A 14,472-nucleotide genomic window follows, 5' to 3' on the forward strand; every position below is an offset into this window, starting at 1 on the left:
GGCAGTGAGGATGTCTTCAGATAAAGCATCTGCTGACTCAGCCTCTCTTGGACACCCTGAGGTCCAGTTAAACAACTTGACATGGTTGGCTGCCCACCAGGACAAAGACTGGCTGAGAAGAGGATGGATTTCTGCCCCAGTGATTTGGCCACTAGTTCAAAATCTTCCTAAAGATCAGTCATATGGCTAGGATTTCTTCTTCAGCCTTGGCTGCCTGTGCAGCTTCTATTTGAGGCAGACTGGCCTGTGAAGCTTGTAGCACAAGCCTGCAATGCCCTACTAGTCATCACTATAGCCCCAGGGCCAGTACAGAGCTAGACTTGGTAAATAGACTTAATTAAGATTTGTAGAATAAATACTAGCCTTGAATGGCATGTGGCCCCCAAGGTGCCTGCCTTTCTCCTCCCACTCCTGGCTACTTTATTGTAATGGAGGACTTTCTTGGCCCAGTTATATGGTGTAAGAAATTACAAGGGATTTCTCATTCCTGTGATGTGGCCCATTTCCTGGTGGTGTGGCACTGCCCATCATGCCCTTGAATATGCCACCTTCTTAGCTAGGAATCCCCTCTCCTTGTCTATTAGCTTGTCTGAACTTCTCCATCTTTGATATCCAGCTCATTTGTTACCCTGGATGTAACACCTTTCCAGTTCCTCCAGCTCAGATTACTTTGAATTGTAATTGTTTCTGCATGTCAGTCACCTACTATATTGTAAAACCTTCAGGGACAGACACTTATCTTTATTCTCATTTATTCATTTACTTGTTTAGAAACAGTGTAACAAAATGGTTAAGGGCACAAACTATGGATTTATAGTTTAGGTTGGCTGTGTGACTTATTGATTATGTAATTTACAGTGAGTGACTTAAACTCTTTAAACTATTTTTCTTTCTTTCTTCTTTCTTTATCTCTTTCTTTCTCTTCTTTCTTTCTTTCTTCTTTTTCTTTCTTTCCTCTTTATCTCTTTCTTTCTTTTCTTTTTGTTTTTTTTTTTCTTTTTTTTGAGATGGAATCTTGTGCTGTTGCCTAAGATGGAGTGCAGTGGCAACTTCTTGGCTCACTGCAACCTCCATCTCCCGGGTTCAGGAGATTCTCCTGCCTCAGCCTCCTGAGTAGCTGGGATTACAGGCACACACCACCATGCCTGGCTAATATTTGTATTTTTAGTAGAGATGGGATTTCACCGTGTTGGTCAGGTTGGTCTTGAACTTCTGACCTCAAGTGATCCGTCCGCCTCGGCCTCCCAAAGTGCTGGGATTATAGGCATGAGTCCCCATGCCTGGCCTCTATTTTTCTTATATGTAAGGATGAATATTGTGGTAGTATTATGTTTTAGAGCAATTGGAAGAATCAGACAGATATAGCATTTATTGGACACTTACCATACACCAAGCATTATGCTGATAATAGTAATTAATATGATTATTTATTTATTCAACTTTTTTTTGGCACAAATACTGGGGCCTGATGCTGTTCTAGGTGCTGCCTCTAGGATCTAGCAAGATGTTTGGTATAGAGTTGGGCCTTGGCAAATGTTCACTGAATGAGTAAAGCTAGAACAAGTTGTGGACTTCGTTTGTAAATATTTGTATCTGTCAACTAAGCTGGATTATGCTGTGTAACAAATACCTCACCCCAACATCTCATGGGCTTACTTTAACAAAAATGTATTTATTGCTCCTCTTATATGGTTAGTGTGGGATAGCTGCAATTCTCTTGTCTTCAGAGGTCAGGTGGTTTCATCTCAACAGATGCTTTCATGATCTCTGTGGCAGAGGAAAAGGCATGGTGTGCACTGGGTCTTAAAGTGACACATATCATCTCTGCTTACATCTTTTTGGCTAGAGAAAGTTACATGGCCTTGTCTAACTTAAAAGGGGAGAGAGAATTGCAATTGTAATCCTACTCTGTACCCAGAAGGAGAAAAACCACAATATTTGCAAATATCCTTCATGGTTACCACAGGCTGGAAGCTGATGATATAATCTTCTAACACACAGTCCAGTTTTGGCCTACAAAGACCCCCTTTTTCAAAGTCTCAAAGTCAGTGTCAGCAGCTACCCCCAGGCCTCTGGTTTGGAATTAAGTTTTCAGACTAGGTATTTTATTTTCTTCTCACTTCCCTACTCAATTATATTTTAAGCAGATGGGTGATCCTGTCAACCTTAAGAAAATAGCAGGAAGAAACAAATTTATGTGAAACACCCCACATTCTAATTAAATTTTTCTGCCACCCCAAGGTTTGAGCTTGGATGCTGATTTGCACTTAAAGAAAATCAAAATACAAGCCCAAATTCAAGAAAGCTTGCAAAATGCTTTCATGTTGTTCTCCTCAGTTGACATGTAAATGAAAAGAACCCTTTTATTTTCCCCCACAGCAAACACCTTTTTTTTTTTGTTGCTTGATGGCTTGGAACACGATTCTGTTTAAAGACAATTCAAAGCAGCTTCTAAATGCAGAAATCCAGTGAAGCAGGCCAAGCAGAAGATGTAGATGGAAGGTTAAGTGGGGCAAATCTTAATCAGGCTAGAGAAATGTGGCCAGGACTGCAACTTGAGGCTCAACCCAATACTCCAAAAGATCTACCATCACAACCCTCCACTCTGTCCCATTTCCACCAAATAAAGTGAGGCTATGTTAGTTGTCTGTTTCAGTATAGCAAGTAACTCCAAAGCTCAGCTACTGCAAACAACAAATGGCTATTATTTCCCACAGTTTCTGAGGGTCAGGAATTCAGGAGTGGCTTCGGTCAAGCTTTTGGCAAGGGCTGCAGTTACCTGAAGGCTTGACTGGGGTTGGAGTATCCTTCCAAAGCCCACGGTTGTGATTGTTGGAGGGTGTCAGTCAGTTCCTTGCAGGGTTTCAGCCAGAGGGCCTCAGTTCCATGCCATGTGGTCCTCTCCATAGAGTCATTCACAACATGGCTGCAGGCATCCTCAAGTGATCAAAAGGTAGGTCAAAAGAACAATCAAGACAAAGTCACAGTGTTTTATAACCTGATCTTGGAAATAAAATACTTCACTTCTGCTGTGTTCTGTGGGTCACACAGACTCTAGTACAGGTCGGAAGAGGAATACACAAGGATGTGAACATCAGGGGGTAAGGATTATTGGGGGTCATCTTGGAGAATGGTTACTGTATGCAGGATATGTCTATGTATGCATACACACACACACACACACACACACTTTTTCTTTTTCTTTTTTTTCCCTTAAATCAGGAAATAAGAAAACAAACAACATAGTACCTACTACGGCCAAGAACTGGGCCGGATGATCTGTACAGGTTCTCTCAGTCCTTACAATAACTGCAAAATGGCTGCTGTTATAATACCCATTTCACAGTTGAAGACACTGCATTTAGGAGTGATTAAGTAGCTAAATGCTATCTGGGTGGGAAGTGGTAGAGCCAGGGCACTGCCACTGGGAAATCTGTCTCATGCAATACACTTTCTGGAGCTATTTGATTGCCAGGTAAGGGTAAGGAGAGCATCATGTAATCCTGAGAGTAGCCTTGGAAGTTAGCCCAGTTGGGCCTCAACTCTAGATGCAGCCACTCACCAGCTGTGTGGACTTTGGTAAGTTACCCGATGTCTCCCAGCTTCTCCGTCCTCATCTGTAAGATGGGGATGAAATTAAAAGTGCTCACTGCACAAGGTTGTTGTGAAGATTAAATCGGGTGAAGATGTCGACTGCCTAGCTTAGTGCCTGGCATGGAGTGAGGGTTCAGTAAATGCTGGGTGTTACAGTTTTGAGCCCTAGGCACTGCTACAGGCTAAAACAAATCCCTTCTCCCTGCTGTACCTCAGTTTTCCTATCTGAGAAATGAAGGAGTTACATAATATGCCCAAGGTCACTTCTAATTCATAGTCCATGAAATTTTGTTTTAAACATACTTTTTATCTGAGCCTTGGAGCTGTGCTAAGTAGTGGGAAACCAAAGTATCCTCTAATTATGTCATGCTGACAGGTTGAGGTTTTCTTCACTTTAGCTAGAATTCGAGGGAAGTGGGTTTTAGCTTTCTCCCTAATATTCTATATTTGAAATGTCAAAAGGAGGCTTTGAGGAATAGGGGAAAGCATGCTGGGAAAAGGACTCTGGAGTCTAATCTTGATATGGGCTCTGACTGGCTGTGTGATCTCAGGGAAAGTTCTTGTCCACTCTGTTCTTGTGCTTGCTTATTTTTTCAGATGAGGACAAAAACTTTTGCCCTGGTTCTTTAGAGGGATGCCTTATGGCCAAATGAAATTGAGACACACAATACAAATGGAGCAAATCCTTAGAGATGGAAATATCTAAGGAGGCATTGGGGCTGGGAGGCTCTGGAGGGTGGTTCCTCATGCCTTTCCCTTCATAATGAACATTCTGGGTCTTTTGCACACACAGAGGTGGAAGAGTTGTGGCAATTAACTTCTAGAAAAAAAAATCACCATTCGAAAATGCCAAGGACCTTTTAACACACCTTTTTCTAATGGATCTCTCAGAGGAAGAGGCAGTGAGAAAACAATTTTACATTGTCTTTAACCTCTGAGGGGAAGAAATGCTGGCTGTCTTGGATGAATTTCGTCGACTTGGTGCAGAGCAGAAACCAGGGCTCAGGACATAGTGGAGAATGAGAGGAAAGGAAAGTGAATTGTGAGCGTGTGCATTTTCCTTCTCTGTGTTCATTCCTCTAAGTTGGACAGTTCAGAACCAGCTCTTATATTGGCTGCTTTGAACTCTTGTACTGCCTGGTTATCACATATCCTGTTTTGAACTGATGGCTGTGGGTTGCCCTTGTTTCTCCAGCTACTCTGTCTGCATTTTGTTATCTGTACCAGCCCTTATGAGTGTAGAATTGTGACCCACCATGGATGAGTGGGTCTGATGCAGCCCCTATTTCATGTCGTGAGCTGGTTTGAAACCCTTCTGTTGTTATGTGGTGATTGCATTCCTAGACACCTCTGTCACCTCCCATACCCAGACGCAGAGTACAATAGACCCATGGCTCTAACAACGTCTTCATCCTATCCCTTATAGCTGTGTCTGAAACACTTTTAAAAAAATTTATTCAGTTTTTTTATTTGTACAAATGCATGGCATACATGTGCAATTTTGTTTCATGCATAGGTTGCATAGTGATCATATTAGGGCATTCATTTATTTATTTAGGTAGAGTCTCACTCTGTCACCCAGGCTGGAGTGCAGTGGCGTGATTTGGCTCACAGCAACCTCTGCCTCCTGGGTTCAAACTATTCTCCTGCCTCAGCCTCCTGAGTAATTGGGATTACAGGCACGTGCCACCATGCCCAACTAATTATTTCTTTTTTAAAATTTTTAGTAGGTGTGGGGTTTCACCATGTTGACCAGGCTGGTCTTGAACTCATGACCTTAAGTGATCCACCTGCCTCAGCCTCCCAAAGTGCTGGGATTACAGGTGTGAGCCACCATGCTGGGCCCCATTAGGGTTTTTGAGGTCTCCATCACCCAACCGGTTCACTTCTGGTCTTCTGTAGGGAGATGTTTATTTTGTTTTCAAGTGAGGCTCGAGTGAAGTGGTTTGTGAGCCAATCACAACACTGTCTTGACTGGATATACCATTTTACGTCATTTTGAAATTCCTCTCACAGTTCTTAAATTGACATTATATTGAGATAATTGTGGATCCACATGCATTTGTAAGAAATAATAGAGTGATCTCATATGCCCTTTATCCAGTTTCTCGCAGTGCAGTATTTTGCAGAACTGTAGTACAATAGGATATTGACTCTCATGTTTTTAAGAGAATTTTTAAAAATGCACTCAGGGAATTCAGGGGGCAGGGCACACACCTCTGCCCTCAGGCTGTGCAAGCACTGGCCTGTGGGCCTGGAGTCAGGGGCATGGGTAGCAATCTGACCCGGCTCTGTCACTGCTCCCTGTGGGGGCTCCCTGGGGCTCAGCTTCCCCACCAGTAAGATGAGGGGTGGGATGAGAAGATTACTGAGGTTTCTTTTAGCTCTACCATTTTATGATTTTACACTTCACTCATGAGAGCCCCTGGGGTCAGCCTGCCCTGGTCTTTTTATTAGATAAATTGTATCTTACTTTGAGCCTACAGAACCAGAGTCAGATGAGTCTGAATTGGACATCTGTTTCTGGGATCTTCTCAGCATCCACACTGCATTTCCTTAAGGGACTCATCTCCTGCCCTCCTTGGCTCTTGTGATTTAGCTGGGGCAGACCCTGCTTCCCGGGCTCTAGGATTGGCTCTACGATTGGCTTATTGTTCTAATTAGATATTTTCGTTCTATTTGTGGATAGGTTCATGTTAGGAGGCATGACCTAAGCCAGCCCATGAGAAGCCATCTAAGGAGTTTTATGAAAACAGTCGAGAAGGGAGAAGGGTTTTCCCCTATGAGGATATTTCAGGGGTAGGGGTTAGGATGGAGACCTGGTGCTTCAGGCAGTCATTTACCACCTCAATGAAAGAGCTTGCTCAGAACTAGATCAAAGCAGAGGAATGTGGGGCTGACAGATGAAGAGAGAGACATGGACAAACAGTCCCAGAAATATCAATGCATCTGCTGGAGGTCGCGTAGCTATTCCCAGTGGCCCTTGAAGTAAAGGAAGCCTCACTTTACCCATTAACTCAGGTGAGTAATGGTTATTTCCAGGCGAGAAGAGAGATCTGCTGACTTCATGCATTTGGTTCTGGGGGTGGCTCTGCAAGGAAGGCTAGATGGGAGGGGGAAAGTTTGCATGCACCTGCAGGCTTGGGATTCACAGTGAACTGGTGGGTTTTTCACTTTCTTTGAAGAGCCCAAAGGCATTTACTGACATGATCTCATTCGTTTTCAGCTGCAATTGAGTGAAGTCACCTTGATGCAGAAGTGTTTTCTCTTCTCATTCCTGTTAGGAAACCAAGTTACAGCTGAAGCCAGGGCCTTCTCCTACCCGACTCCCGCGGCCCATTAAAACCTACGTGAGCTTATCTGATACCTTCAAGCCCTGTTTTGTGGCCCCATCTCCTCTTCAGGTATTGTACAGAGTGACTCACAGATAGCATCCCTGAGCCATTTCTCAGGGAGACAGTGATTTATTGAGATAGAGGCAATAATGTGCTAATTCTAGCAGCCAGTCCAGGCCTCATTAGCATCTAAGTTTCCTGGAGTTCAGCTTTAATCACACATGGGAAGAGTTTACCACCAAGGGGTTCTCATACCTCCTGTTCCTTTTGCATGAGTCTTCTGGAAAGCCTTGGCACTTGTTGAGGTGGTGATGGTAAAGTCAGGGCAGAGGGTTTCAACTGGGGGTGTGAATTATGTTCACCTGGAGAAACTTAAATCTGTCTACTTATCCATCCATCCGTCCACCTATACATTCGTTCATCATCTTATTATTTACTTAAATAGATAAGACAAGCGTGAAGTAAAAATGAAAACAAAGCTTTCTAGTCTGTAAAATAAGCATAATGATAACATCTACCACATAGAATTGTTATAATAATGAATTAAATTATTGTATATAAAGTGCCTAGAATAGGGCTTGGTTCATAGTAAGTTGTAATAGACATGGTAGCTATTATTATTAATGTGAATCTTACATCCCATCCCTCAATCACCTAGTACCCTTCCCATTGCAGATTCTAGAGATTATCTGCATACATAAATATGTACACACACACACACACACACACACACACACACACACTCCACCTCTGGACAGACTGACTCTAAAAGCTATAGAAAATTTCAAATGCCATCCAGGGTTGGGAATCTCAGGATTGGAAGCTGAGCAAGACTCTGGGGAATGTCAGGAATTAGAGTGTAGAGCCACTAAGGTAAGAAGGAAGTGACTGTTTTTCTACAAGGGCAAAAGCTAGGAGGACTGCCTGGAAGGGGAGCTCCTTAACTATGTTCGGTATGGCTGTGAAAGAAACAATAACAATCATCACAACAGCTAGAGTTGTGAGACATTATCCTGTTATCTCAGAACTCTAGCTAAAGCCTTACACTCAGGAAAATAGGCACTAAGAACTTCCACAGCCTAAAGACAGCAGCAAGGGAGCCACCAGACTCATTCCCCAGGATAAACTAAGAGGTGACAGAAATGCTTCTGCTGCCGTCACCACCCTGCCCTCCTTCTCCATGCGAAGAAATTTGTAGGAGCCATGAGTCATCAGTCTAGTGGGGGTTATGTGTTGTTTTGATAGTGGGCTTCCCCCCTTGGTACTTGCAAGAGGGCATAAAAAAACTCTGTATAAAGAAAGGGAGGCAGGCATCTCATTCCCCGACATGGCACTTGCTGATTTGATAAAACCTGTGGTCCCTTCTGGAGTTGCCAATGCAAGAATCCTTGGATAGCCCAGCCAGTATCCTCAGGAGCTTGGGAATATACAGCAATGGAGAGACTGGAGCCAGCTTCTGTCTAGAGAACTCTGGAGGTGGGAGGCCAGTGGGAGCAGTTCGCACTAGCAGGGAGGGAGAGAAGGTAGTCATGGTATAGGCACTTTGCTCCATTCGGTGTGGCAAGCATATGCTTCCTATGGGCCCAGAGATGCTGCAGAATGTAGGTGGGCTTGGGTCTTGGCAGCAGGACTTAGCCAAGGAGACCACCTGGCAGGTAAGGGGCCTTGCCAGCCAGAGACTAAAGAGTGGGAGCTCAGGGGTAGGAATCTGAGAGTGGGTTGGGAGAGGTCAGCTGGAGGGCATTGTCCATGTTAGAGACCAGTGCAGTGGCTTCCTGACTCCTCCCCATGAAACCCTAAAGAATGACAATATTCAGATGCCTATGGAGAGGATTGAGGGGGAAAAGAAGACTTACAGCAGCTTCAGTTAGGAGAAAAGACTCTGCATCTCTTTCCCTATTTGTCTACAAGAGAAGCTAGAGCCCAGAAGAGGAATGTGGGGAGAAAGGAGAGTGGCCTATTCTGTCTTTCTGCACTGGTTAGGCCTGAGCAAGAGGACAGGGAGGTTCCTCAGGTTGGGTTCCTGTAGAGGCCCACTCAGGTCAAGGATTCCAATGTAAGGAGTTTATCTGAGGGGCGATCCCAGGAAGTGTGGATAGGGAAGTGGGAATCCAGTCAGTCAGGGAAGGAAGCCAGGGAAAGGTGCCATGTTTAGCAGGTTACTGCCATGGATCATGTAGCTCAATCCACCTGAGAGTTGTCCACTCAAGGGCAACTGGATATTTATCTTCCAACCACCTTCTGTCACTGAGGGTTGCTCCTACAGCTGCCACCCATTCCCACATCTGGTGTACCTAGTATGTGAAAGTAAGTCCTCAGGCCCTTGGGTGCTCATGGCATGTCCTAGAACCATAAATTCTGGGGAGAGGGGACGCTGACAGCCTATTGCAGGGAGCAACCTTACATAGGGTATGGGTTAAAGTTTTGAACTGGACTGAATCGGACTGAGCCAGACTGGATTGACAAGGAAGTGGTGAGATTAGCTGGTGAGGTCAATAAGGGATAGTAAAGGGAGATTCAGCAGAGTGTCTGTGAAGGCAGTCCCAGGAAAAAAGTAAAGCTATTGCAGGTCACCTGCTGAGTCCAGATGGTGAAAGGTACTGAGATCACTGGCATTAAGTACAAGCCTAATGCTGTGTGGGTCACCCTAAGTGCTCATCTCATGTAATCCTTACTGTGACCCCATGAGGCAGCTTTGCTTCTCTTCCTGTCTTACAGATGGGTCAGCTGGGCTCTGGAAGGTTAAGTAACTTGCCCAAAGTCACTCAGCTACTCAGTGGCAGAGTCAGGTCCTGAGCCCAGGTTTGCTTCCAGAGCCCACACTCTTAACCACTGTGGCAGAGACTCCTGACTGCCTGTCAAATATGCATTTCCTCCTTCTTTCTTAGTAACGAAACTTTGGTTTTATTTCAGATGGCAATGTGCCTAGCTACACTACATTTCCTGCCTCCCTTGCAGCTAGAGGTGGCCAATGAGATATAAACAGATGCTGTAAGGTGAGACTTGAAAGAAAACCCCTTGAGAAGTAAATGTATGGATAGCATGTGCCTTTTGTGCCCATTTTCTTATTCTACTCCTGAACTAGATGTACTAGGCTCATTTTCCTTTTGTTTCTTCCCTCACATTGACACAGACATGATGTCTAGATCCCTAGCAGTCATCCCAGACCATGAGATAACTTTGAGAAGGAACACCATGTACAAAGGACTGTGCAGAAGAGGGTTGGCAGGAGCCTGGATCTCTGATGACTTCACCCTTGACTGCCCACCTCACCAGGCTGTACAAGCCACTGTTACTGGCAGATGAATGCAAGTTCTAAAACATACAACTACTGACCTACTGAATTTTCCAAGGAGCACATTTCCACTGGAGACATTTGGTGCCTGCAGAAAATACTTACTGAGGAATTTCTATGGGACCAGCCTGAAGTAGAAGCCACTGAAGAGAGGCCCTGAAGCAGCTTTTCTTCCTTATCCCAGAGACCAACATGGTTACCCCAGCCCAGAGTCACCCTCCTTCCTCTAAGCTGTCAAAACCCTGGCTGCCTTTACAATGATTCTGACAATGAATCCCACCCTGCTGGTGATGTCTATTGCTTTACTGTTAAACTTTTTAAGGGTTAAAATTCCTTTTTATTTTTCTTTTTAAATTGATTAATAATAGTTGTACCAATTTGGATGGTACCTGTAATATTTTGATACCTACATACAATGTGTGATGAACAAATCAGAGTAATTGGGCTAGCCATCACCTCACACATTTATCTAGGGCTGAAATCCCTGAAGGACAGGATTGTGTCTTACAAATTGTGTATTCTAATCTGCATTTACATTTCAGAAATTCTGGACTAAGTAGGCAAACCAACAGAAACTCTTGCTATGAAGATCTGGAGGTTTCCTGGAGGAAGTGGTGAATAGGGCCTTGGGACTGATGTTAAAAGCCCTGGAACACAATAGGGAGACTCCTGAACTAGGAAGAAGTCAAAAGCTCTGGTAGCAGCCCCCACAAATTAAGAAACCTACTCAGAGTAAAAGAAACAGGCCATGGTGGGTGGCCGGGGAGCAAGGAATATTTGTGAGTAACCCCAGATGGTGGCAATCATTTAATGCCCTCCATCCCTCTCAGTGTATATTAGGTTATGTTTTTTTTTTAGAAAATGGAGGAAGGGTTTTACTATGTTGCCTAGGCCAGTCTCAAACTCCTAGGCTCAAGCGATTCACCTGCATTGGCCTCCTAAATTGCTGGGATTACAGGCATGAGCCACTGTGCCTGGCCCAAGAAGTCTGAGCCAGACGTTGCTGCATAGGTCAGAACTCTGTGGGCTATGAATGTAAGATATTCACGAGTCACATCTATTCCATTCATTGGCAAACACTTACCTGAAACCATACAGCAAAAGAGATTCTGGAAAATGTACCTTCCAGCCTTAGAAGAAAGTGATGGTGGTGCCCAGTTGACCCCAGGCAAGCCGGCCCAGGAATGCAGACATTTTGGACTGCTCATCTTTTACTACTTTGTGTAGCCTTTCACAGAAGAATTACACAAGAACTTGACTCTTGATTCCAAGGATTCTGGAAGAATGCCAACCAAACTGAAGTCTACAAGCCTAACCATGTTATGAAAAGGCTGGATGTGACATGGTGAATCCTCCTTAGATGTGTTAACTAGGGTTAGGGTACCAGTGACATGCAAGGGGTTGGCCATTTGATTAAGTAGAGGAGGCATGAGTGAAAGCAGCACACCTCCACCCTGCTCAATGGCCATCATCACCTAGCCAGGCTGTGAGCCTCCATGGAGTGGGTAGCTGAGAACCCACAACCCACAATATATCTTCTTTCTGGCCCTGTTAACATGGACCTGTCTCTATGAGGTGATGGTTGATATCCAGCTAAGTATGGCCCTCTTAATAGTAATGTGGGTGGCTTTATTCATATTGGCTTCATGATAAATGGTATCACTGAGCTGACTTCTCTATGTTTTAGATAAAACAAAAATAAAAGACAAAAAAAAAAAAAAGAAAAAAAGCAAAATGACACAGGCAGTCTTGCTGCCAGACACATCTGCAATCAGAAAGCTTGGAAAATTAGACTTGGAAATGGCTTGAAAAAACCTTTAAACTTTTTCTGAAGAGCAAGTACAGGTTTGTCTCTGGGGTCAGTTCTAATTCTTTGACCAGCTAATTTTAAGTGGCTGTATCTCGAAAAAAGTGACAGTGACATTTTGGTACTCCAGCTGAACTTTTAGATTAGTCACTGATACAACTGCAACTTTTGGCCTATTTGAAGGATTTTAAGGGCAGGATAAATAACAAAACCCAACAGTCTTAGCCTGAGTTTCCCAGAAATCAGAGCCTGAGACAAAGGCTTGCCTTTTAAGATTATCTGAGAATGTGATCTTAGGTAGCAAGAGTACAGGGTAGGGGAGTGATCAGGGAAGGAGGGAAAGCTAATGCAACATGGATTATTACGTTGTCTACTACTATGGACAATTGTTCATGTGGACTATGCTGTGGACTACCATATGGACTACCACTATCACTATGGATACAAGTCCTGCTTGGAATTTTTGGGGAGATTTATGGAAAGTACTAGAGAACTGTTTGTCCAAAGGACCAAAGATGGAAACATTTATCCATTGGCTCCAGGTCCCCATTGGTCAAGGATGACTTGGTTGCATTTCTAAGTAATGTATGCTGAGCACAGAGCAGATTCAAGTGGTTGCCCTGAGCTGCAGATACCTCTGGGCAGGAAATGAGAGATACTCAGTGCAGACCTAGAGTGAGACCCGTGATCTGATTGCACCAGCATAGAGATGGTCAAAACCTAGGTGGAAGCAGTTTCTTCAGTTGTAACTGGAGATAGAGGTGGGATTGAGAGGATTTTAAAAAGGGGCCCAGGAGTTATCTAAAGCACCAAACAGTAAGTATACATTAACTATGTTCTGGGTGTTGGGCACAAGCATGGGAGGTAGAGCAGTGACATGATAAAGCCTTTACTCTTCCCCAAATATCTATACTTTCTCTAATATAAAAAATCTTAAGTATATGAAAAATATCACATTTATTATAAAATGTAAACTGCAATGACATCTGAGAGAGTTATATGTTGAAATTTAAATTCACATTGAGATATAAATGTTAGATACAGGTATTTTACCCCAAGTAAGGCTTTACTAGGGGAAGGAGGAAGTGCACAAGAATTCTGGGAGTCTGATGTAGTTGTGAATCAAAATTTCCAATCCTTATATATATTTTTATTATCAGCCTTGCTTTGCCTAGTGCCTATAATCGTGTGAGAACTTGCCCTGTAGCCCCCCATGAGTGGCCCTTTTCCCTAGTCATCCTTCTTTGGCTTTAGCCATGAGGAGCCTGATGTGAGGAGAGAACTCAGCAAATATTTAAGTAAATATTTATGGAATGACATGAATGAATACAAAGTTATAAATAGAACATTATCTTATTCTACTCCTGGACTAGATGTACGACCAAACAAACTAGAATAGATTTTGCATAGATTAAATTTCACCTTTCTGACCTCCCCAAGCAAGTGCTTCTCTGTTTTTTTCCAGACCACCATGTATATTCAGTAGCTGTAGCCCTTATTTTCTGTTTTAGTTATTCAAAGCTTGCTGGAATATGAGCTCCTGAAGGGCAGGGGCCATTTCTTATTAATCTTTCTGTTGTCAGTACTGAGCAAAGTCTACGGTGCCTAGAAATGTTTAATTAATGAGAATCTGAATCAAGACTATAACCATACAACCTCAATAATGCAATTAAAATGAAGAATCTGTGGAATAAAATGACTGAAAAGCATACCTTGGGAATACATATCCCAGCTGAGAGACTATAGGCAAGTCACTGAATTTCTGTGTCTCAGTTTCTCCAAGTGAAAAATGAGAGACCAATCAGGGTTAGAGGATATGTGATGTGCATACTGTCACTCTGTTTTCTGTGTCTTGGTTGACATTTCTAATAAATCATGACTTTTCTTCACACTGATTTCAGATATAAGCTTAGTAGTCTCAATTCACTTCAGTCAGCTTCTTTGAAATTCATCAGAAATATTTTTAAAAGCATAAATCAAATGATATCTTTCCCCTGCTTAAAACCCTCTAAGAACTTCTAATTCCATCCTGATGGCAAACTAGGGTCATCTAAAAAATCTCCAGCTATATGTCCTTAGAAATGCTACCCAAACTATAGCAACAAGTCAAAATGCATGGTGGATCCTTTAGTAAAGAAAGGAAAATCACCAGGTGCCAGAAAAAGGAATGAAACTGAAAAACATAGGGAAAAGCATATGAGCTTATGCTGTGGCTACCCTGGAAGAAGTGTGGAATGAGTGGTTTGGTGTATTATTACACCGGGTAATTAAGGTTTTGGTCAAATTAGAGGATAAGAGATGCAGTCTTCAGTTTAAATGAATCAGGGAGTTGGAACTGAAAACTCTACATGAGCTAGGATGCTTGAAGGGCTGACCTATAGAGAGGGTGCTAGAGAAAAAAATTACAACTGTTAACATGAAGAAAAAAGGAAGTGTTTCTT

The 14,472-nt window shown here is 43.2% G+C and overlaps 1 long non-coding RNA gene across 1 annotated transcript in view; it reads left to right on the forward strand.

Moving 5' to 3' along the window:
• Positions 1–13,926, forward strand: part of LOC105371240 (uncharacterized) — a 124,894-nt gene extending 110,968 nt beyond the window's left edge. The window contains exons 2-4 of the long non-coding RNA NR_188470.1: positions 6,879–6,998; positions 9,843–9,925; positions 10,063–13,926. This is a non-coding gene — a long non-coding RNA (uncharacterized LOC105371240). The remainder of the gene's footprint in view (positions 1–6,878; positions 6,999–9,842; positions 9,926–10,062) is intronic.
• Positions 13,927–14,472: the final 546 nt, after the last annotated feature.

This window comes from Homo sapiens, chromosome 16, assembly GCF_000001405.40.
Source record: "Homo sapiens chromosome 16, GRCh38.p14 Primary Assembly".
Classification (NCBI taxonomy): domain Eukaryota; kingdom Metazoa; phylum Chordata; class Mammalia; order Primates; family Hominidae; genus Homo; species Homo sapiens.